Source organism: Homo sapiens, chromosome 1 (genome assembly GCF_000001405.40).
Source record: "Homo sapiens chromosome 1, GRCh38.p14 Primary Assembly".
Taxonomy (NCBI): domain Eukaryota; kingdom Metazoa; phylum Chordata; class Mammalia; order Primates; family Hominidae; genus Homo; species Homo sapiens.
Genome location: NC_000001.11, coordinates 230449966 through 230476219, shown reverse-complemented (window position 1 = coordinate 230476219; position 26254 = coordinate 230449966).

Sequence of the window (26254 nt, the reverse complement as noted above, 5' to 3'; positions counted from 1 at the left end):
CTTCAGCAGACTTAAACGTTCCTGCCTGCTGACTCTGAAGAGAGCAGTGGATCTCCCAGCACAGCGCTCAAGCTCTGCTAAGGGACAGACTGCCTCCTCAAGTGGGTCCCTGACCCCAGTGCCTCTTGACTAGGAGATATCTCCCAGCAGGGGTCGACAAACACCTCATACAGGAGAGCTCCAGCTGGCATCTGATGGGTGCGCCTCTGGGATGAAGCTTCCAGAGGAGGGAACAGGCAGCAATCTTTGCTGTTCTGCAGCCTCCACTGGTGATACCCAGGCAAACAAGGTCTGGAGTGGACCTCCAGCAAACTCCAGCAGACCTGCAGCAGAGGGGCCTGACTTTTAGAAGGAAAACTAACAAACAGAAAGGAATAGCATCAACATCAACAAAAAGGACGTCCACACAGAAACCCCATCCAAAGGTCACCAACATCAAAGACCAAAGGTAGATAAATCCCCAAAGATGAGGAAAAACCAGTGCAAAAATGTTGAAAATTCCAAAAACCAGAACGCCTCTTCTCCTCCAGAGGATCACAGCTCCTTGCCAGCAAGGGAACAAAACTGGACGAAGAATGAATTTGACAAACTGACAGAAGTAGGCTTCAGAAGGTGGGTAATAACAAACTCCTCTGAGCTAGAAGAGCATGTTCTAACCCAACACAAGGAAGCTAAGAACCTTGAAAAAGATTAGAGGAATTGCTAACTAGAATAACCAGTTTAGAGAAGAACATAAATGACCTGATGGAGCTGAAAAACACAACATGAGAACTTCGTGAAGCACACACAAGTATCAATAGCTGAATCAATCAAGCAGAAAGATATCAGAGACTGAAGACCAACTTAATGAAATGAAGTGAGAAGACAAGATTAGAGAAAAAAGAGTAAAAAGAAATTAACAAAGCCACCAAGAAATATGGGACTAAGCGAAAAGACCAAATCTACATTTGATTGGTGTACCAGAAAGTGACAGGGAGAATGGAACCAAGTTGGAAAACACTCTTCAGGATATTATCCAGGGGAACTTCCCCAACCTAGCAAGACAGGCCAACATTCAAATTCAGGAAGTACAGAGAACACCACAGATACTCCTCGAGAAGAGGAACCCCAAGACATATAATCGTCAGACTCACCAAGGTTGAAATGAAGGAAAAAATGTTAAGGGCAGCCAGAGAGAAAGGTCGGGTTACCCACAAACGGAAACCCATCAGACTAAGAGCAGATCTCTCTGCAGAAATCCTACAAGTCAGAAGAGACTGAGGGCCAATATTAAACATTCTTAAAGAAAAGAATTTTCAACCCAGAATTTCATATCCAGCCAAACTAAGCTTCATAAGTGAAAGAGAAATAAAACCCTTTACAGAGAAGAAAATGCTGAGAGCTTTTGTCACCACCAGGCCTGCCTTACAAGAACTCCTGAAGGAAGCACTAAATATGGAAAGGAAAAACTGGTACCAGCCACTGGAAAAACATACCAAATTATACAGACCATCAACACTATGAAGAAACTGCTTCAACTAACGGGCAAAAAAATCAGCTAGCATCATAATGACAGGATCAAATTCACACATAACAATATTAACCATAAATGTAAATGGGCTAAATGCTCCCAATTAAAAGACACATACTGGCAAATTGGATAAAGAATCAAGACCCATCAATGTGCTGTGTTTAGGAGACCCATCTCACATGCAAAGACACACTAGGCTCAAAATAAAGAGATGGAGGAATATTTACCAAGCAAATAGAAATAAAAAAAGCAGGGGTTGCAATCCTAGTCTCTGATAAAACAGCTTTAAACCAACAAAGATCAAAAAGATAAATAAGGACATTATGTCATGGTAAAGGGATCAATGCAACAAGAAAAGCTAACTATCTTCAATATACATGCACCAAATACAGGAGCACCCAGATTCATAAAGCAAGTTCTTAGAGACCTATGAAGAGATTTAAACTCCCACACAATAATTGTGGGAGACTTTAACACCCCACTGTCAATATTAGACAGATCAGCAAGGCAGAAAATTAGCAAAGATATTCAGGATTTGAACTCAGCTCTGGACCAAGCAGACCTAATAGACATCTACAGAACTCTCCACCCCAAATCAATAGAATATACATTCTTCTCAGCATCACATCACACTTACTCTAAAATTGACCACATAATACAAAGTAAAATACTCGTCAGCAAATGCAAAAGAATGGAAATCATAACAGTCTCTCAGACCACAGTGCAATGAAATTAGAACTCGGGATTAAGAAACTCACTCAAAACCACACAACTACATAGAAACTGCACATCCTGCTCCTGAATGACTACAGGGTAAATAATGAAATTAAGGAAGAAATAAATAAGTTCTGTGAAACCAAAGAGAACAAAGACATAACACACCAGAATCTCTGGGACACAGTTAAAGCAGTGTTTAGAAGGAAATTTATAGCACTAAATGCTCACAGGAGAAAGCAGGAAAGATCTAAAATTGACACCCTAACATCACAATTAAAAGAACTAGAGAAGCAAGAGCAAACAAATTCAAAAGCTAGCAGAAGACAAGAAATAAATAAAATCAGAGCAAAACTGAAGGAGATAGAGACAAAAAAAAACCTTCAAAAAATCAATGAATCCAGGAGGTGGTTTTTTGAAAAGATTAACAAAATAGACTGCTAGCCAGACTCATAAAGAAGAACAGAGAGAAAAATCAAATAGACACAATAAAAAATGGTAAAGGGGATATCACCACCAATCCCACAGAAATACAAACTACCATCAGAGAATACTATAAACACCTCTATCCAAATAAACTAGAAAATTTAGAAATGGATAAATTCCTGGACACATACACCCTCCCAAGACTAAACCAGGAAGAAATCAAATCTCTGAATAGACCAATAACAAGTTCTGAAATTGAGGCAATAAGTAATAGCCTACCAACCAAAAAATGTCCAGGACCAGACAGATTCACAGCCAAATTCTACCAGAGGTACAAAGAGGAGCTGGTACCATTCCTTCTGAAACTATTTCAAACAATAGAAAAAGAGGGACTCCTCTCTAACTCATTTTATAAAGCCAGCATCATCCTGATATCAAAACCTGGAAGAGACACAACAAAAAAAGAAAATTTCAGGCCAATATCCCTGATGAACAGCAATGCAAAAATCCTCAATAAAATACTGACAAACCAAATCCAGCAACACATCAAAAAACTTATCTACCACGATCAAGTCAGCTTCATCCCTGAGATGCAAGGCTGGTTCAACACGCACAAATCAATAAACCTAATCTATCACATAAACAGAACCAATGACAAAAACCACATGATTATCTCAACAAATGCAGAAAAGGCCTTCGATACAATTCAACACACCTTCATGCTAAAAACTCTCAATAAACTAGGTATTAACGGAACGTATCTCAAAATAATAAGAGCTATTTATGACAAACCCACAGTCAATATCATACTGAATGGGCAAAAGCTGGAAGCGTTCCCTTTGAAAATCGGCACAAGACAAGGATGCCCTCTCTTGCCACTCCTATTCAACACAGTATTGGTAGTCCTGGCCAGGGCAATCAGGCAGGAGAAAAAAATATAGGGTATTCAAATAGGAAGAGAGAAAGTCAAATTGTGTCTGTTTGCAGATGACATGATTGTATATTTAGAAAACCCCATTGTCTCAGCCCAAAATCTCCTTAAGCTGATAAGCAACTTCAGCAAAGTCTCAGGATACAAAATCAATGTGCATAAATCACAACTATTGCAATACACCAATAATAGATGAACAGAGAGCCAAATCATGAGTGAACTCCCATTCACAAGTGCTACAAAGAGAATAAAATACCTGGGAATACAACTTACAGGGGATTGAAAGACCTCTTCAAGGAGAACTACAAACCACTGCTCAAGGAAATAAGAGAAGACACAAACAAATGGAAAAACATTACATGCTCATGGATAGGAAGAATCAATATTTGGAAAATGGCCACACTGCCCAAAGTAATTTATAGATTCAATGCTATCCCCATCAAGCTACCACTGACTTTCTTCACAGAATTAGAAAAAACTACTTTAAATTTCATATGTAACCAAGAAAGAGCCCATATAGCCAAGATAATCCTAAGCAAAAAGAACAAAGCTGGAGGCATCATGCTACCTGACTTCAAACTATACTACAAGGCTACAGTAACCAAAACAGCATGGTACTGGTACCAAAACAGATATATAGACTAATGGAACACAACAGAGGCCTCAGAAATAATGCCACACATCTGTCAAAGATCAACCATCTGATCTTTGACAAACCTGACAAAAACTAGCAACAGGGAAAGGATTCCCTATTTAGTAAATGGTGTTGAGAAAACTGGCTATCCATATGCAGAAAACTGAAACTGGATCCTCTTCCTTACACCTTATACAAAAACTAACTCAAGGTGGATTAAAGACTTAAATGTAAGACCTAAAACCATAAAAACTCTAGAAGAAAACCTAGGCAATACCCTTCAGGACACAGGCATGGGCAAAGACTTCATGACTAAAACACTAAAAGCAATGGCAACAAAAGCCAAAATTGACAAATGGAATCTATTTAAACTAAAGAGCTTCTTCACAGCAAAAGAAAATATCATCAGAGTGAACAGGCAACCTACAGAATAGGAGACAATTTTTGCAATCTATCCATCTGACAGAGGGCTAATATTCAGAATCTACAAGGAACCTAAACAAATTTACAAGAAAAAAATCAAACAACCCCATCAAAAAGTGGGTGAAGGACATGAACTGACACTTCTCCAAAGAAGACATTTATGTGACCAACAAACATCTTTTAAAAAGCTCATCATCACTGTTCATTAGAGAAATGCAAATCAAAACCACAATGAGATACCATCTGATGCCAGTTAGAATGGCGATCATTAAAATGTCTGGAAACAACAGATGTGGGGGAGGATGGGAAGAAATAGGAATGCTTTTACACTGTTGGTGGGAGTGTAAATTAGCTCAACCATTGTGGAAGACAGTGTGGTGATTCCTCAAGGATCTAGAACCAGAAATACCATTTGACCCAGCCATCCCATTACTGGGTATATACCCAAAGGATTATAAATCATTGTACTATAAAGACACATGCAAAGGTATGTTTATTGCAGCACTATTCACAATAGCAAAGACTTGGAACCAACCCAGATGTCCATCAGTGATAGACTGGATACAGAAAATGTGGCACATATACACCACGGAATAGTATGCAGCCATAAAAAAGGATGAGTTCATGTCCTTTGCAGGGACATGGTTGAAGCTGGAAGCCATCATTCTCAGCAAACTAACACAGGAACAGAAAACCAAATGCCACATGTTGTCTCTCATAAGTGGGAGTTGGACAATGAGAACACATGGACACAGGGAGGGAAACATCACACACCAGGGCCTGTTGGAGGATGAGGGGCTAGAGGAGGGATAGCATTAGGAGAAATACCTAATATAGATGACAGGTTGATGGGTGCAGCAAACAACCATGACACATGTATACCTATGTAACAAACCTGCATGTTCTGCACGTGTCCTAGAACTTAAAGTATAATAAAAAAGTTAAAAAGAAGTAAAATGAACATTTTAAGAAGTCGCAAAATAGACATACAGAATTCCTGTGAAAATTCACCTTCTCCTAGGTTATAACGCTATTCCCATCAACTTTTGAGATTGCATTTTACGGGAACACTTTCTTTGAGCACATGCAATTATATTAGAGAATATTAACAACAATAAGAAGCACCCAGAGAAAACTATACATTTAGACATTAAAAACAGGCTTCTTTAAAAAAAGAAATTGTGTATATTTATGGTATACAACATGATATTTTGGTGTCCAAAATAGACTTCTGAGCCACTCCCTTGTCCAATTAAAAAAAAAGAAATGATAAAATATTGACATAAATAATGATAAAAATAATACATATCAAACTTGTGAGACAGCAAAAACAGTACTCTATTAACTTAAGTATTAACTAGAAAAAAGAATGTCTAAAATAAGGAGACAAGCATACAACTTAACTTTAAGAAAAAGAGCACAGCAGAATACATCCATAGAAAGTAGAAAAAAAGTTATCATAGCACTATTCACAATAGCAAAGATATGGAATTGACTTCAGTGTCCATCAATGGGTGATTAGATTAAAAAAATGTGATATATATACACAATGGAATACTATTTAGCCATAAAAAAGATGAGGTCATGTCTTTTGCAGCATCATGGATGGAATGGGAGGCCATTACTTTTTAAGTGAAACAAGTTGAATACAAAGACAAATATCACATGTTCACATTTAGAAGTGGGAGCTACATAATGTGTATACATAGATGTGAGTGTGGAATGACAGACAGTAGAGACTCAGAAGGGGCGGGGTGGATAATGAGATATGACTCAATAGGTACAATGCACATTTTTTGAGTGATGGATACCATAAAAGCCCTGACTTCATCATTATGCAATAAATCCATGTGACAAAATTATATTTGCACCCCAAAAATTTACACAAAATTTTTAAAAGAAAGTAGAAGGAAAGAATGATAAAGCAGACAGTAATGATAAAGAAAACAAATGTGCCTTAGAAAGGAACCATAAAACCAAAAGTTAGTTGTTTGAAACAGTTTAATCAGTAGAAAATCTCTGTTGATATTTACTAAGGGAAGGAAGGAAGGAGAGAAGGAAGGAAGGGAGAGAGAAGGAAAGAAAGAAAGGAAGAAAGAAAGAGAGAGAGAGAAAGGGAGAAAGAGAGAAAGAGAAAGGAAGAAAGAAAGAGAAAGAAAGAAAGGAAGGAAAGAAAGAAGGAAGGAAGGAAGAAAAGAAAGAAAGAAAGGAGGGAGGGAGAAAAGGAAAGGAAGGCTCTAGTGAAGTAAGTTAGAAAAAAAAGGACAACACAACTACAGACACTGCTGAGACAATATAATAAGAGAATATTCTTTTTTTTTTTTTTTTTTTTTTTTTTTTTTTTTTTTTTGAGACAGAGTCTTGCTCTGTCTCCAGGCTGGAGTACTATGGCGCGATCTCGGCTCACTGCAAGCTCCGCCTCCTGGGTTCACACCATTCTCCTGCCTCAGCCTCCCGAGTAGCTGGGACTACAGGTGCCCGCCACCGCGCCCAGCTAATTTTTTGTATTTTTAGTAGAGACGGGGGTTTCACCATGTTAGCCAGGATGGTCTCGATCTCCTGACCTCGTGATCCGCCCGCCTCGGCCTCCCAAAGCGCTGGGATTACAGGCGTGAGCCACCGCGCCTGGCCGCAAATATTTTTTAAATACAGTTTATCAAGAAGAAATAGAAAATATGAAGAGTCTTAAAATGATTGAGGAGATTGAATCAGTTGTTGAAAAGTCTTCCTCAAAGAAAACACTAGTCCCAGTTGGCTTCACCAGCAGTTTCACCAAACATACAGAAAAAAAAGAATTTCAATCTTACTACAACTCTGCCAAATCATTAAAAAAGGGAAAAAAATCTCCATTCACTTTGCGAGGTGGGCCTGACTTTGATACCAAAAATCCAATAAAGAACAATATGAGAAAGTAAAATTGTAGGTCAATCTCACCTGTGAGCATAGATGCAAAAATCCTCAACAAAACAAATGAAATTTAGCAATATATAAAAAGATGAATACATCATGACCGTCATGACCAATTAATGGTTAATTCTCAGAATAAAAGGTTAGTTTAATATTAGAAAAGTGATTTATGAAATTCACAGTAACAGATCAAAAGTTTAAAAATCATATTAACAGATACAGAAAAGCACTTGAGGAAGTTCCATGTCTAATCATGATAAAATCTCTTAGCACACTATAAAGAGAAGGGAACTGTCACAACCTAATAAATAACAAACGTCATATCTAATGGCAAAATGTTGAAAACATTCCCTTTAAGATTAGGAGCAAGACAAAAGTAGTTAGCTTTCCGTTCAACATTTTACTGTGAAATATGTCTTCATATCCTTCTAAAAGCAAGGTGGAAAAACTTATGTATATTATGCTATCATTGTGTGGATATGACTATATAGATATGACATGCTTATATATGAATGAATGCTTACATTCAAATAAAACAAGAAAGGTAAATTTAAATGGCCCACTTCCATTCAATATTTTACTGGATTGCTAGAACAAGCAATAAGGCAAGCAAAAGGAAAGATATAAATACGTAAAAGGGGAAACAAAACTGTCATTTTTGCTATAATACAATTGTATAAGTAGGAAATGTAAAAGAAACCACAGATAAATTATTTTAACTAATAAGAGAGTTAAGGGATTGCTGAATAAAATTAGTATACAAAATTTCCCAATGGTGAGGGACATTTTAATTTTGCATGTGCAAAATTACACATGCATTTACCCTTTCAACCAGAAATCCTGTTTTTATCAGAATCTATATGTCAATGATAACCTAGCAAAATGAAAAGAAGTATGCACAAGACTATTCATTACAGCATTATTTGCAAAAGAATGGAAATAACACAATTGTCCATCAGCAGGAAGCTGGTTGAATAAACTGGTTGCATATGGCATATCCGCATCATTGAGTACTTGCCATTAAAAAAGAAATGAGGGGCCTGGTGCGGTGGCTCATGCCTGTAATACCCAGCACTTTGGGAGGCCAAGGCAGGTGGATCATGAGGTGAGGATCCCGTCTCTACTAAAAATACAAAAAATTAGTCGGGCGTGGTAGCATGCACCTGTAATCCTAGCTACTCGGGAAGCTGGGGCAGGAGAATTGCTTGAACCCAGGAGGTGGAGGTTGCAGTGAGCCAAGATCGCACCACTGCACTCCAGCCTGGGCGACAGAGCGAGACTTCATCTCAAACACACACACACACACACACACACACAACACACACACACACACACAAAGGAATGAGGGCTGGGTGTGGTGGTGCACATCTGTAATCTCAGCACTCTGGGAGGCCCAGGTGGGAGAATCACTTGAGGTCAGGAGTTTGATACCAGTCTGGCCAACATGGTGAAACCCCGTCTCTACTAAAAATACAAAAAAATTAGCCAGGCGCGGTGGCACATGCCTGTAATCTTAGCTACCCAAGAGGCTGAGGTGGGAGGATTGCTTGAGCCCTGGAGGCCGAGGTTGCAGTGAGCCAAGACTGCGCCACTGCACTCTAGCCTGGGTGGCAGAGCGAGACTCCATCTCAAAAAAAAAAAAAAAAAAATGAGATATGCGTTTATACCCTGCTATGAAATGTGTCTTCATACCCTTCTAAAAACAAGGTGGAAAAAAGTGTGTATATTATGCTACCATTGTGTGGATATGACTACATAGATATGTTAGCTTACATTCAAGTAAAACAAGAAAGATAAATTTAGAAACTAAAATAGAGGGGTTAACTCTAAGGAAAGGAACAGGAGGAAAAGAAAAATGAAAACTAGACCTCTCTGAATACAAGTTGTTTTGTAGATTTGATTTTGAAAATGTGGAAACGTTTTACATAATTATGAAACAAAATTAAATAATTCCTAGAAATCAAAAGCAAAATAAAACAAATTTAACTGTATATTGAGTTGTTGGTATAACCAGATAGAAAAAAAATTATCCTTAGAAAAAATTATGCTAATTGACTTTAAAACGTAATTTGATGGTGCATTTCTAAAGAAATGTTTCCTAAGAACAGGCCGGGCGCGGTGGCTCAAGCCTGTAATCCCAGCACTTTGGGAGGCTGTGGCGGGCGGATCACGAGGGCAGGAGATGGAGACCATCCTGGCTAACATGGTGAAACCCCGTCTCTACTAAAAATACAAAACATTAGCCAGGCGTGGTGGCAGGCCCCTGTAGTCCCAGCCACTCGGGAGGCTGAGGCAGGAGAATGGCATGAACCCGGGAGGCGGAGCTTGCAGTGAGCCGAGATCGCGCCACTGCACTCCAGCCTGGGCGACAGAGCAAGATTCCGTCTCAAAAGAAACAAATAAATAAAAAATAACTCTAAAATATGTAGTCACATGGCTAATAAAAATATTGCTATTGGCACTCCAAAACAAATATAGATAATTGAGAGAGAGAGAGAGCGAGCAAATAAGCAACTATGTAGATGTGGTTGGGAACTAAGATTTCACTGTCAAATGTAAAATCAAAGTTAATTAACTCGCAACATACTTAATATTTAATCTTTTACAGTCTTAGATTTGTCCATTGAAAAGGTCTTGAGCCAATGACCACCCATGAGCAATCAGTGCTGCAAACACCAGAATGAGGTCTTTAAATATCATTTTGGACCAGCAAGAACCAGAGCTCCTTGGTGATGGGTAATTCTAGTTCTGGGCCAGGAAATTTACAAGTTGGCAGCCAACAGCAAGAAAGCTGTCAAAGACAGCTGGGTTTGCATAAAAGGGACTCAGGAGCGAACTGCACAAACCCCCAGGGGCCAAACAAAGGAACAATTTGAGCATTACCAAATATAATAACAACTAGGGATTTAAACACAGCACATATATTAAATTCATGAGCTATTAGTGATTAAAAAAACACACACAAATGAACATAGGAAAACCCCTTCCTTGGTCACCTTTAAGGATACTAGGAACTCATTAATTTGAAAGGTGATGAATAACCTCTTCCTCAAAACAACCAAATAGTTGATGTGAAAAAGTTTCCCTTTATTACTATTTATACGTGAAGGAATAAAAAATTAGAATATCTTATTTTTGGAGACCCTAATGAGCATCAGTGGTTGCTAACATCACAAAAAGACACAACCAGATATTACGTGCCTTGTGATGGAAGTATTCTGTGACTACCTGTCAAGTTATTCCTCCCACCCCATCAACAAAATGGCAAACTTAAATCTGAACAGGCCTTAAGAGCTAGCTATCAATTGACAGGAAAAACAGAGACAGAAGAACATATTAACCAATACCACAGAGATGCAATTAGCTAAATCCAAACCAAGGTACATCATAAAGGCCAAATGGCCCAGTTTCTTCAACAAATAAAACTGCAAGAAAAAAAAAAAGTGGAGTCTGGGGAGAGGGGACAGCAGCCCCACAATTTCATCAGCACCCCAAACTTCTTCTATCTTTCTGTTCCTCCATCGTCCTTACAGTGAGACTCCCACCATTATGGTCAAGAGCCAGCTGCTACATCTCCAGATACTGTATCCGTGTGTATTCCACGTCTAGGAAGGAAGAAGGAAAGCACCCAATTCTTGGGAAGCTTTGTCTGTTTTGAAGCTCTTTTCAGGGACTTCTAATCCTGACTCGAGTGGTATTAGGTTTCCTGTCTCCAGCTACAAGTGAGTCAATGGAGATGAATGTTTTTTTTAACTTGGCACATTGTCTCTTGAAAAACATTAGTGTTCGATTATTTAAGGAGAAGGGGAGAATGGATATTGAGCAGCAGGCTTCCATGGTCTCTGGCAGGGATAAATTTGTATTGTCCTAGTGCCACTGCTTCAGCGGATGAGATAGAGACATGGCTGGAGTCCAGATCACAGCTTACAGCTTGGAACAGAGGGACATTTCTGACTTTGAAGGAAATCTGAGATTGCTTTCGCATTAGTACACTATTTGAACCAAAGGAGCTAACCAGCTATAGTCTTCGTGTAATAATGTCCACAGTCACAAACTGTATTCCTCTCTCCCCTAAATTCTGACATCTTTACCTTAATGCCATTAAACATAAAGAATTGCCATCAACTCTACAAGTTTAATTTGCTGCTTTCTAGACATCGATACCCATTGTAACTCTATTTGGAGGTGTTCTTCCCTTTTTAGATATGTCATATAAAAGAATGACATCCTTTTTCTTTCAATTTAAATGTTTCTCCTACTTCAACAGAGTACTGAGAATGAAATAAAATCATATTATTAACACCATCAAGTCTTAGAATTTATAGTTATTACTAGTCTTCTATCTACAACAGAGAATTAAGCTGAAGTCTAGAAATTCATGTCTTTGTATCTCTCCCTATCTTCCTTCTATCAGAGGAGAAAAGAGGATTTTTAAAAAATTAATATACTTTATTTTTTAAAGCATGTGATGGGTTGAATTGTGTCCCCTCCCCCAAAGATATGTGGAAGGTCCTGGTACCTATGAATGTGACCCCATTTGAAAATGGAGTCTTTGTACATGATCAAGTTAAGATAAGGGCATTAGGGTAAGCCCTAATACAGTAATGACTGGCGTTCTTTAAAAAGGGCAAATTTGGACACAGACACAGACATGCGCAGAAGGAAGGCAACGGGAAGATAATTCTGTGATGACAGAGCCTAAGAGGGATGATGTAGCTGTCAGCCAAGGAATGTCAAGGACGGCCAGCCACCTCCGCAAGCTGGGAAGAGGCAAGAAAGGACTCTACCCAGAGTCCCTGAGGGACCCAGGCCCTGCCAACACCTTGATTTTGGACTGCTAGCCTCCAGAACTGGGAGGCAGTAAATTTCTGTTTGAAGCAACCCAGGTACATGGCTGCAGCAGCCCTAGCAAACTATTACAGAGCAGTTTTAGGTTAGCAGAAAAATTGAGCACAAAGTGAAGCATTCCTGTATAATGCCTTGTGCACTCTGAAACAGACTTTCCCCTATTATTTACATCTTGCATTAGTATGGTACACTTGTTACAATTGGTGAGCCAACATGGATACGTCACTATTAACTAAGGCTCAAAGTTTACAATAGGTTAGGCTCCTTGTGTTGCATATTTTGTTGTTCTTGTGTGGACATGTTTTCAACTCATTTAGGTAAATACCAAGGAGCATGATCCCTGGATTATATAGCAAGAGTATGTTTACTTTGTAAGAAACCAATAAACTGTTTTTTCAAAGTGGTTGTATTGTTTTGCATTTCCACCAGCAATGAATGAGCATTCCTGTTGCACCACATCCTTGCCAGCATTTGATGCTGTCGGTGTTTTGGATTTTAGCCATTCTAATAGGTGTGTAATTCTGAGAACAAAAACTGTTTCTCTATACTCACACAACATTCACTTCTGACCCCAGAGGTGGGTTTTTTTCCACACAAAAATTCAATTAAATCTTGACACTATCTACCTGAAGTTAATATCACACCCACAAGTTAAGGGCTCAGTCCCACAAGGCTGCCCCCACTTCAGAAGCCAATTGCAAGTCCCCAAACACTTGGCCTTCTGACTGACTAGCTATAAATTCATGGGGTTCCCACAATCCTCTCCTCAGGTTCATTAACCTGCTAGAATGGCTTATTTGGTCATTCTAATTTAGAGAAACACTTGGCTTATGTTTACTGGCTTATCATAAAGGATACAACACAGAAATAGCCATAGGGCAAGTTATGGGGGATGGAGGGGAAGGTGTAAAGAGCTTCCATGCCCTCTCCAGGCATGGAAGCCTCCCAAGCACCTTGATATATGCATCAACCTGGCAGTTGATCAAATCTCATGCTCAAAAGTTTGTATAGAGCCTAATCTCCAGTCCCTCCCCTACTCCCCTTGCAACTTCCCAGAAGTCAGCGTAAGGGGTTGACAGTTCTAACCTTCTAATCACTTGGTCTTTCTGGTGACCAGCCCCATCCTGAGGCTATCTAGGGGCTCTACCCTTAGGTACCTCATTATAAACCCAGGCATGATCAAAAGGGACTTTTTATAAATAACAAATGACATTCTTATCACTCAAGAATTTCGAGGGTTTTAGAAGCTCTGTGCCAGAAACTGGGGACAAAGACCAAATTTATTTCTTATTGTACCACAATAGTAGTATCTCATGGTTGCTCTAATTTAAAATCTCCAGTGACATATGATGTTGATAATCTTTGATGTGCATGTTTGCCATCAATATATCTTCTCTGATGAAGCGTCTCTGCAGATCTTTCACTTATTTTTAAAATTGAGTTTATTGTTTTCTTATAGTAGAGTTTGTATATTCTGGATATTATTTGTTTTAGATATAAGTGAGGGTTTTTTGTTGTTTGTTTGTTTTTTCAGACAGAATCTCACCCTGTCACCCAGGCTGTAGTGCAATGGTGCAATCTCAGCTCACTGCAACCTCCACCTCCCTGGTTCAAGTGATTCTTACACCTGAGTCTCCCAAATAGCTATGATTACAGGCATGTACCATGATACCTGGCTAATTTTTGTATTTTTTAGTAGAGACGGGGTTTCGCCATGTTTGCCAGGCTGGCCTTGACCTCCTGGCCTCAAGTGATCTGTCTTCCTCAGCCTCCCAAAATGCTGGGATTACAGGAGCGAGCCACAGATGTGTTTGAAATTTTTTTTAAGTCTGTAGCCTGTCTTTCATTTGCTTGATAGTGTCTTTTGCAGCACAAGAGTTTTTAATTTAATGAAGCACAACTTATCATTTTTTTCTTTTATTGATTGTGCTTTTTGTTCTAAAAAGCCATTGCTAAACGCAAAACCAACTACATTTTCTCCTATGTTATCTTCTAGAAGCTTTATAATTTTGTGCTTTACATTTGGATCTATGATCCATTTTTAGTTAATTTTTATGAAGCGTGTAAGGCCTATGTCTAGATTCATTGATTTGCAAGTAGAGGTCCAGTCGTTCCAGCACCATTAGATGAAAAGACTAGCCTTTCTCCACTGCACTGCCTTTGCTCCTTTGTCAAAATTTGTTGACTATATGTGTGTGGGTCTATTTCTGAGCTCTGTAGTCTGTTCCACTGCTAAATCTGTTTCATTGATCTGTTTGTCTATTCTTTTGCCAATACCACACTGTCTTGATTGCTGTAGCTTTATAGTAAGTCTGGAAGCCAGGGAGTATCTATCCTCTGACTTTGTTCTTCTTCCTCAATATCGTGTTAGCTGACATGGATCTTTTGCCTTTCCATATAAACTTCAGAATCAGTTTGTTGTCTACATCCACCAACTAAATTGCTGAGATTTTGATTGGGATTACATTGAATCTATAGATCAAGTTAGGAAGAACTGACATCTTGACAATATTGAGTCTTCCTACACATGTACATGAAATCTCTCTTCATTTGCTTAATTTTTTGATTTCCTTCATCAGATCTTTGTAGTTTCCCTCTTGTAAGTCTTGTGCATATTTTGTTAGATTTATACCTAAGTATTCCTCTCTTTTTTTGGTGCTAAGGGAAGAGGATTTTTATAAGAAAATAAAATTAGAAAGCTTAGCAATTACAGAGATGTAAAGTAAAAGAAGAACAATTAATCTGCATAATTCATGGCATAATTCCAAATGCAAAATAGCAAAAGAACAGAATACAGTTTGCTAAAAAGGCATAAAGAAAACCCCAAAGGCTTCCTTAGTGAAACAAACATGTGGGAAACAAGCTGAGATTCAGAAGGAGAGCCCAAGAACACAGTTCAGGAATAGAATTGACTTTCTAGAGAGCAAAGTGTGCCAGGCTGTAGGAGCCCATATTCACACACCTGGCACCACATCCCAGAACGGCCCCAGGCAAGTCCAGGGGAGGGAGGGAAGGGAAAGGAATAAGCAGGGTCCAACAAACCTCCAGGTCTCTTCGGAATGGGTCAGAAAACCATGTTGAGGATCTGAGACATGACCTGTTCTGAGAAAGCTTGGAACCTCGGACAGATAATAAGGAAATGCCAATTTCTGACCAAAATTATGCATCTCATCTCACACATGAGGACAACCAAGATGAAAGAGCTATCATGTGCCATATGTTGTTGACTAAGTTACAACTGGTATGAAAACTTATCTAGGAGAAGAAATTGTCTTTCTTAACAAGACGCTTGGTGGTAGAGGTTGGACTCTGAGACCAGAAGTTTCAGAAAACAAGAAAACACATGAGACAGTTAAACTGCCCTTTGGAGAAATAAAGATAGATTTTGGCATGGGGGAATGCTGAGAATAGAGGGGAGGAGAGAAAGAGGGAGAAAAAAACAGGATGGCTGAGCAGTATGGCATGGTATCAGAAGGAGTGGGCTATGGTGGGAAATGCCCAATTTCATGGTGTTTGCAAGCGTTTCAAGATCTTTTGGGTGCTATCACATACACTGAACCATTCTTCATCTTCCTCATCGGTTGCCCAATGGCTTTGTGTGAAATAAAGATTTTGGGTGAAAATCAAGGAAAGAGAGGTGAATTCCACATCTGGGTCAGAACAGAGGAGAGAAAGAAAGAACTCACAGGAAATAAAACATGATTGATCTCAAAAGGGTCTTGCAGCAACTCAAAGCCAGGTGCGACCATGAGATATATATTTCAGAGAATACTCAGACATCTTGTGTCAAATGTAGGCTATGAGGATCAAGTACTCAATTAGGTCACATAAGAAACCAAACCCAAGTCTCTCTTTTTTAAAATAATGACAACTAATGTTAAATGAGTGTTTATTAGGCTTTGTGCCAAGCAATTTACAAACATTATCTTCCTTTGACTTTATAACCCTAGGAGGTTAGGATTCTTATCATTATCTTTATTTGAAAATAACAAAATTGAGACTGAGAGCAGGTAATATCTTGCCCAACGGCACTCTGTAAGTGACCAAGTCACAATTTGAGCCCAGACTGTCTGACTCCAAAGCTCTACACTCACCTATGATCGTTTACAGCCCATTTTTTGCGTCAGCTGCCAAGAATGACTCGAAACCAATTAAGAGGTCGTGTGATTCACTAAAACTCTAAAACTCTTCTTGCTGAGGTCACCATTTCCCCATTGTGAAATCCAATGATCTGACTTCAGGGTAACAAAAGAAGCAAGATCCAGTTTCTTCTTCTTCTTCTTTTTTTTTTTTTTTAAAAAAAGATAATAGCTAATGTTAATCATGCAAAAAGCACATGCCAGATGCTTCTTCCCCTCCTTGGACTTCATTTTTCTCCTTAGCACTTATCACCACTTGACATTCTGTATTTAACTTGCTTATTTGTTTATTGAATCTTCCCCAAGTAGCTGTCCCCTACAGCAGAGATTTTTGTTCTGTTTTTCTTACTGCTTACACTTGTAGCAGTGTCTGGGAAATGATAGCTGCCTGATAAATATTTGTTGAATGAGCCTTAATATTTAACAAAAACAGTACAATAATCTGGAGATGTGTTAGGAGTTCTTTAAGAAGTTAAACCAGCATCTGTCCTATGACCCAGCAATTCCACTCCTAAGTATTTACCTAAAAGAAATGAAAACGTGTCGAATAAAAGTCCTGTACAAGTGTTCATGTTATCCTCATTCCTAGTAGCTGTTAACCAAAATGTGACTGAGTCAGGGCTCGGTTGATTAGAGGTTTATTTAGCCAAAGTTGAAGAAATGCCTGGGGAAAAAAGTACAAATTGTAGGAGCATCTGTGACTTACGCTTTTTCCCAAAGGAGGTTTTGGAAATTCGGTATTTAAAGGGGAATGAGCAAGCAAGAGAAGGAGAAAAAGGAGTGAGGCAGGCCATGAGGCAGATGGTTACATTCTTGTGATGCTCTGATGAACCTCAGTGAATCTACATTTTACATGTGAAAAGAGGAAATAGAGGGAAAAGTCAATTATGCATCCTCCACGCTCAGTAAATCTATGTTTTTTTGTAAGATAAAGTAAACAAGTGAAGAGAAGGACTAGAGGAAGTGAGAGTATGACATAGGTTGTGAAATTACAGCTATCTGCTTGGGAACAAAGGGAAGACAGTATTGGTGACTCAGTTCCCAAGCTCAACTTTCCCTTTGGCATAGTTTCTGTTTTTCTTTCACATAGCAAAAACTGGGAACAACCCAAATGTCTATCAACAGGAGAATGGGTAAATAATGCCAGTATATTCCTTAAATGGAATAGCACTCAGCAATAAAAGAACAAACTACTGATACAAAAAGCAGTATGTATGAATCTCAAGAGCTTATGCTGTGTGAAGTAAGCCAGATACAAAGATGTACATACTATATTATTACATTTTATGTGACTTCAAAGAACAGCAAAAGCTAACCGATGGTGACAGAAACCTGAGCAGTGGTCACCCAGGGTGCTTGGACATTGACTGGCAGGGCTGTGGGGAGCTTCCTGGGGTTAGGGAGGTGCTCTTTATCTTGTTTTGGGGAAGCAGTTACAGAAGTGTAAACAATGCTGAAACTTATCAAATGGGCCACTCAAGACACTTGCATCTTATTATGTATCGATTATAGCTCAATTTTTAAAACATCTGTTTTCTGAGGCTGGGCACGGTGGCTCACGCCTGTAATCCCAACACTTTGGGAGGCCGAAGAGGGCAGATCACAAGGTCAGGAGTTCGAGACCAGCCTGACCAACATGATGAAACCCCATCTCTACTAAAAATACAAAAATTAGCCAGGTGTGGTGACGTGCACCTGTAATCCCAGCTACTCAGGAGGCTGAGGCAGGAGAATCGCTTGAACCAGGGAGGCAGAGCTTGCAGTGAGCCAAGATCATGCTACTGCACTCCAGCCTGGGCAACGGAGTGAGACTCCGTCTCAAAAAAAAAAAAAAAAAAAATCTGTTTTCTAAATATTAGCCAGATAAAGTTAGAGAAGTGTTTCTTTTCTCTTGGGTAGCTCTAATAAAATAAATCCTATTTTCCTTTTTTCTTTTTTTTTTTTTGAGACAGAGTCTCACTCTGTCGCCCAGGGGTGCAAACTCGGCTCACTGCAACCTCTGCTGCCTGGGTTCAAGCGATTCTCCTGCCTCAGCCTGCTGAGTAGCTGGGATTATAGGTGCCTGCCACCGCACCCAGCTAATTTTTGCATTTTTTGTAGAGACAGGGTTTCACCATCTTGGCCAGGCTGGTCTTGAACTCCTGACCTCGACCCACCTTGGCCTCCCAAAGTCCTGGGATTACAGGCATGAGCCACGGCGCCAGGCCTGGAATCCTATTTTCTAGCTAGGAGATGTCATAGCCTCTGTCTCCTCATATGTCATATGAGGAATATCATGCTTACCAAATAGAATTTTTGTCAGGATTAAGTAAGATAAGGTATATAATATGCTCAGCTTCTTAGTATCTAGCACAAAATAGGTGTCCCATAAATATTAATTATCTGTCTTGGTATTAAAAATAAAAGACAAGGCACCAGTCTGATTGCTCTGCTCCAACTAATTCAAGGTTTTGGCCATATTTTATGCCCACTGGCAATTTTCTGAGCGTGTTCTTTAAATATTGAAAAATTCAGTCTATAAGACCACAAGTGCTTTTGACCTTGAAGCAAAGCAAAACTAGGTCAAATGGAATCAATTTAGATAATGGCAAAGTTAAAAGTCAGTTCTGAAATCTATTCCCTAAACTTCAGATCTATCTTTTTATTGTTAAAGCAGTGAATTATAGGAGCTACTCGCTGACAAAACCTTTTAAAAACTGTCATTTTGAGCCTCAAAGTAAATGCCTGCTAAAGGTTATGAATTTGTTCGGTGCTCTCATTTCATTATTGTACAGAACAAACATAATTATTGGTTGATTTTGCATTATTGACCTGTATAATGAACTCTGTCGCTCCGTAGTCACAGCTGAGTTTGTTCCAGGGATTCTGAGTGGTTGTTAGATCTTTGCTGTGGCTCCCTCAACTCATTTCCCCAAGAGACAGCATGACACAGCCAGGTTAGCAGATGCCAGCTCTAAGTCAGGCCATGAGAACAAGTTCTTCTCTCCTGCAGGAAGCACGATGATAGAAGAGGACTCTAGGCGCGTGTGGCTGGCAGCCAGGTCTGAGGACTTCAAAACCCTCGTCTGAGAACCTGAGGATGGTGTCGCGGGTGAGCAGTGACCATCTGGGCTAGTGGTGCAGGAGTAAAAGAATTTACCAAGACAGTTGTAGGTAAAGAAAGGCAGATTTATTAGAGAAAGTAGGAAAATACGTTGCACATTGCAATGGGCAGAATCAGCATAAGAGCAGCTGGCTGCAAGGAAGCAAAGGCTTGCTTGGGAAATTACAGAATGGAACTTGGGTTGCTTGATAATACCAAGGTATCCGGAGCTAACTTGCATTCTTCTGTCAGTCAAGGTGTTTGATAAATTGAAGCACTCAATGAGAAGCAGAAAGTGTGTGAGTTATGTACATTATCTGTGCAGGAGGGCTATATGCTCTGGACCAGAAAGAAAGGCAGACCTATAGTTTATCTGTTTTATCTCTTTGTTTTCCCCTGGTCCCAGCAGCCTGCCTCTTCTTCCCTAATTAGGACTTTACAGGTAGCATGAGGTCAAAGGACCTGGGTTGACTTGGAATCTGATCATCCCCCAGGCCAACCAGAGATGTCCTAATTCTCTGGCTTTGGAGGGCATATAAGAAGAGTCCCAGGCCAGGCATGGTGGCTCAGGCCTGTAATCCCAGCACTTTGGGAGGTCAAGAGATCGAGACCATCCTGGCCAACATGGTGAAACCTCACCTCTCCTAAAAATATAAAAATTAGCTGGGCATTGGTGGCAGGCGCCTGTAGTCCCAGCTACTTGGGAGGCTGAGGCAGGAGAATCACTTGAACCCAGGAGGCAGAGGTTGCAGTGAGCTGAGATCCCACCACTGCACTCCAGCCTGGTGACAGAGTGTGACTCCATCTCAAAAAAAAGCAAAAAAAAAGAAAAAGAGAGAGAGAGGAGTCCCAGACCAACACAGCTCCACTCTCCAAGTCTCTGTCGAGGAAGGCACTGCCTTAATGTGGAGAATAGTATCTGGACAGCACAATATCTCCTTCAGGGTCTTTCCACCATGATTAGGCTTGATCAGAGGGTAGCCAGGTTGGGAACAGATTATGGAAGCAGGAAGAAGCAGCTAACACTGGCCTCCACCCCTTGCCTAGTTCTGACTACTGGTGGCCTCTTCCACTTACATCAGCGTTCCCAGGAAACTCTGCCAACCAAATTCCCAAGATTTGCCTTCTACCTACATGTTTTCTTTGTGACCTGGCACATGCAATCTTACTGGAATTAATGAGTAGAAATGTGAGACCTTCCTTTCCCTCCATCTCATAAATGCCATGTACTCTATTTATAGATTAAGGTGAATATTATGGAGACTCTCTGGCCTTGGGTGAGTTTTTCTTTCTAGGCCTTAATTTCCTTTTCTATCAAATGGGGGTGATTATGCTTACCTCATAGGGTTGTCCTGAGAATTAAGTGAAGAAACAAATCTAGTTCTTAGCACATTGCCTTCAGAGTGACTGCTCAACAAATGGTAGCTATTGTTGTGTCATAATTATTTTTACAATAACATGTCACATGTTTTATAGTAACTTGCTCCCTCTTAGTGATAGTCCTCTGTTAATATCCTCTCCAACCTTTGCTATTATGTAGGATGTCTCAGTCATGTTGGTCTTCCCAGGAGGTTTTCCCCAGCCACTCCCAAGCACCCCTCCCACAGAATCCTACCCTTCCTTAGAGCTCATCCCCTTTCAAAGGAGATGGAAAAAGGGGATCTAATAAGATACAGTACATAGAGAACACTTCCAAAAGCCTAAAACATCCTCCTTTCTTCCTGTGACTCAATTTCCTCATATAAATAGCAAATGCAGAACCAATTATGACCTATCTGGTGGGCAGAGATTCAGGAACTAATAGGTTAATATTAGTAAAATCATTTGAAGTCACCTGACAAAAAAGTTCCAAGATGGTACGTGCAAGGCGTTTCATGATTTCCTACTTCTGCAAACGAGTTAATTATTCCTTAAGCAGGATGAGAGCCATGGAATGACAATGTCATAGAGCTGGAAGGGTCCATGGAGAATATCTAGTCTGCAAAGTGTTGGGGAAATATAATTAAAAGAAACAAAATCTCCCAACTCAGAAATCCTCTCTACAAAGGTAGTAGAAACAGAAAACAGTTTTATTATTGAATAAGCATTAAACCAGAATGTGATACAACACAATCTGCTACAAGATTGCAAAGACAAAGAAATCTCACCCCATTATATAGCCAAGCAGGTCTGGCTCACACATATAAGCTTTCAAGGTAAATTATAACTAGTTTTCAAGTAACAGGGCTTGGCAGCATTTTTCATCACACATAGTTCCTTCTAACTTTATTATGGTAATGGGGAGTCCACCTGTGTTAGCTTTATCCAGAGGAGAAACAAACTTCTCATATCTTTGTAACAGAAAGTAAGGCCGGGTGCGGTGGCTCACACCTGTAATCCCAGCACTTTGAGAGGCCGAGGCAGGTGGATGGCTTGAGCCCAGGAGTTCAAGACTAGCCTGGGCATCATAGTAAGACCTAATCTCTATAAAAAAAATACAAAAATTAGTTGGATGTGGTGGCACACATCTGTTGTCCCAGCTACTCAAGAGGCTGAGGTAGAAGGATCACTTGAGCCCAGGAGGTTGCAATGAGCCGTGATCGTGCCACTGCACTCCAGCCTGGGCAACAGAGCGAGACTATGTCTCAAAACAAAAACAAAAACAAAAAAACAACAAAAAACAAAACAAAACAAAACAAAAAAGAAGGTAGTTTTGTGAATTGGAGCAAGTAGCCCAGCAAAGTGAGGCTTTTACCCTCCCAAGTAGGTTCTTACTTTCCCATAGGAACTAGGAGATAGGGATGCTATCTCCCTTGATATTGCATTTCAAAAATAGCTCCCAGGTCCCTGAGGAAATATTTCTGAGCTGTGAGACAGACCAGAGGCTTATTAAGCCATTATAAAGAATGACTTACATTTGAAAAAGACAGAAAAAAAATGGAAAGAAAAGAGAGAATGAAGAAGTCTCTATCTTTAGTTTCAACAGGAAATTAAGCCTCTAATTTTTAGTTTCTATTTGCCCTTACACCACCCTGACCCAGGTCCTAGGAAGGCACTCAAGTTGGGGTTGTGAAACTGAAATGGTACCTGGTTTGTTGCTGTTTTTGCTTTTTAACATATAAGCACGTTTTTAGAGAAAGATCCACGGCTTTCATAGATTCTCAAAGATTCAGTGACTCAGTCCTCTTATTTTAGACATGAAGACATCAAGGCCTTATGAAATAAAATTTATAGGTGGCCATTGGTTTAGATTGAGCTCCTGCACTAAGCCCAAGAGACCAAACCAAAATGGAGTCACTCATGCTAAAGTTCCATGTCACCAACCCAAAACTAAGTTGTTTATATGACCTGAAAAATCAGGAGAGGGAGAGATGATAGCCAAATCCCCAAACAAGCCAGTTTTAGCTGGCACGATAAGGGAGTCCCCTCTGCTTTAATCTTTATAAGGAAAGTATCTTTGAAACAATCAATCCACTTTTTGTTTTGTTTCTGCTTTCTCAGCCCTCTCCTGTCTGAAAAACCAACCTTCTCTGCTCAGCTCATTGGAGTATTCATTCTGGTATAGAATAAGGTGTTGCCCAATTCTAGAATCATAAGTAAAACCAATTAAGATCTTTAAATTTGTTGTAATTTTGTCTTTTGACAGCCTGAAGAGAACAAACATGGTTTTTCCAAACCAATTTAAATGTGGTTACATAGAAAGAGATCTACCGTTTGTTAATAGGAGTTGTGGAACAACTGCTTCCTTGCTGTCCTGCATCTTTTCAGCCCATCTTTCAGGCAGGCTCTCCCACAATCCAGTGGGTTTACCTGGAATATCCAAAACCTTCCTGCCACCTATACACTACACTCTGCCATAGAGAAAGGGTTACCAGATTTAGCAAAAAACAAGACAACCAATAACAAAATACAAAAAAATCCCAAACAAACCATGATGCCTAGTTAAGTTTCAACAACAAATAACAATTCCTTCTGAAGCATGTGTACCCTTTCCCTATGGTATATAAGCCTTGGAACTGGGGGGTGTAACAGTGCAGCATGGGGACCCACCATCTCATCTTGCTGCTGAGAATTCTGTTCATAAGTCCCTATTAAATGCTTCTTTAGGAGAAACTGGAATTGCCAGCCTCTTTCTTTGGTCTCTCAACTTCCTCAGCCTTTGGGAGTATGTTTGCCTAGACCTGCTCACCACAGAACAACCAGGCAGTACTCTCTGGAGATAAAAAGGACAGACAGATGGTAGACCTGACTGGTAGCACATGTAAGTACTGTTTTTGTGTAATTGCTCACCAAAGGTTGGGTCTTCTGGGAGCAGAGACCCAGAGCTCCAAGCTGGCCTAAGAGTTAGGGAGGCCCCAAGGGAAGCACTTAAATCTATGACCCATGGATTAAGTAGTTATTTTCCAGGTAAAAGGAGTAGGGAAATGTCTAACCTGAAACTTGGGGGTTAAAATAAGTACCTCCTAAAGGCAGTAAGAAGGGCTGCGGGGATTCCCTTCTTTTTATTTTTAATATTTATTTATTTATTTATTGTCTCACCTTGGCTTACATCTTTCTTATTTATTTACTTCATTTTATTTTGTTTTGAGATGGAGTCTCACTCTTGTCACCCAGGCTGGAGTGCAATGGCACGATCTCAGCTCACTGCAACCTCCGCCTTCTGAGTTCGGGTGATTCTCCTGCCTCAACCTCCCACGTAGCTGGGATTACAGACGTGAGCCATGATACCCAGCTTATTTTTGTATTTTTAGTAGAGATGGGGTTTTGCCATGTTGGCCAGGCTGGTCTTGAACTCCTGACCTCAAGGTGATCCACCCGCCTCAGCCTCCCAAAATACTAGGATTACAGGTGTGAGCCACTGCACCTGGCCTTTTTTTAAAATTTAAATTTAAAATAAAAAAAATGTTTTTGAGACAGGGTCTCGCAATGTCGCCCAGGCTGGAAAGTGCAGTAGTGCAATCAGAGCTCACTGTAGCCTCAACTTCCCAGGCTTAAGCGATCCTCCCACCTCAGCCTCCTGAGGAGCTGGGACTACAAGTACGTGCCACCATATTCAGTTAATTTTTTATAGAGTCAAGGTCACAGTATGTTGCCCAGGCTGATCTAGAACTCCTGAGCTCAAGCAATCTTCCCTCCTCAGCCTCCCAAAGTGTTGGGATTACAGGGATTACAGGCATGAGCCACTGTGCCCAGCCTGAATTTAAATTAAATTTTTAATGTTTGTGAGTACATAGTAGGTGCATATATTTATGGGGTATGTGAAATATTTTGATACAAGCAGACAATGTGTAATAATTACATCAGGGCAAATATATCCATCACCTCAAGCATTTATCATTTCTTTGTGTTACAAACAATCCAATTATATTCTTTTAGTTATTTATTTTATTTTATTTTTTTGAGGCAGAGTCTTGCTCTGCCGCCCAGGCTAGGGTGCAGTAGTGCAATCTCAGCTCACTGCAACCTCCACCTCCCGGGTTCAAGCAATTCTCCTGTCTCAGCCTCCCGTGTAGCTGGGATTACAGGCACCCACAACCACACCCAGCTAATTTTTGTATTTATAGTAGAGACGGGGTTTCACCATCTTGGCCAGGCTAGTCTCAAGCTCCTGACCTCGTGATCCATCCACCTCGGCCTCCCAAAGTGCTGGGATGACAGGAGTGAGCCACCACGCCCGGCCTCTTTTATTTTTAAATGTATGATAAATTATTGTTGATTGTAGTCACCCTGTTGTGCTATCAAATACTAGATGTTATCCATTCTATCTAACTATATTTTTGTATCCATTAATCATCTCCACCCTACCCCCTGCCCGCCCCCAGGGATTCCCTTCTTTCCTGTGAAGGTTGCACAGTCAGAAGCTGGCAGAGGTTATCCAGTATGCCAGACCTGCTTAGGCCCCTATGACACCTTGCAGAGAATTAGAAAAGAATGCCCTTTCCAAAAAGGGAAAAACTGGCGTTACTAAATTGTTTGTTTTTCAATAACAATAATCACCAAAATGAAACTAATCTGTATAGATTTTGCAAATTAAATTATACAAAATGGACATTTTAATCACAATAATTAGAAACTCAAAGTCACCAATCTATAAAATACTTACATATTTTGCTTTCATGACAACAATGTGAAGATTGTTTCATTGCTTACTTGCCCCAATACCCTGTTTTCTACAGACGTCATTGTTAGACTTGACTGCCTTTCTTATGCCATTATAGGCCTTCAGTCTTTTTCAATACATTTGAATTCTGAGGAACTATATTGGCAAACTTAAATAAGTCCTGAGAAGTACAGAAATATGTAGAGAAGCGTCTGATAAAGCCATTGCTGCAAATATATTAAAATACATCCACACAGGACATACTAGACGTTAGAAAGTAACTTGAGGCTTTTAGCTCCTTGTATGTTAATATCCCATCAATTTCACATTGCTTATATATATATACAGTATACTTGTTTTGTAAATTTGCACATAGTAGAGTGCCACATGTGCATGATGATTCTCAAGCACATGGCATCTAGATCACTGGTAGGTCACGATGCGCAGTATCATAAACCTGTCTTTGGAAGGTGACACTGTTGTAACAAAGAAAAAAGAAATTTACTTTCCAACTAATTTGGGATCATAGTTGGGCTGATCATGGGATTTGAAGATTAAATG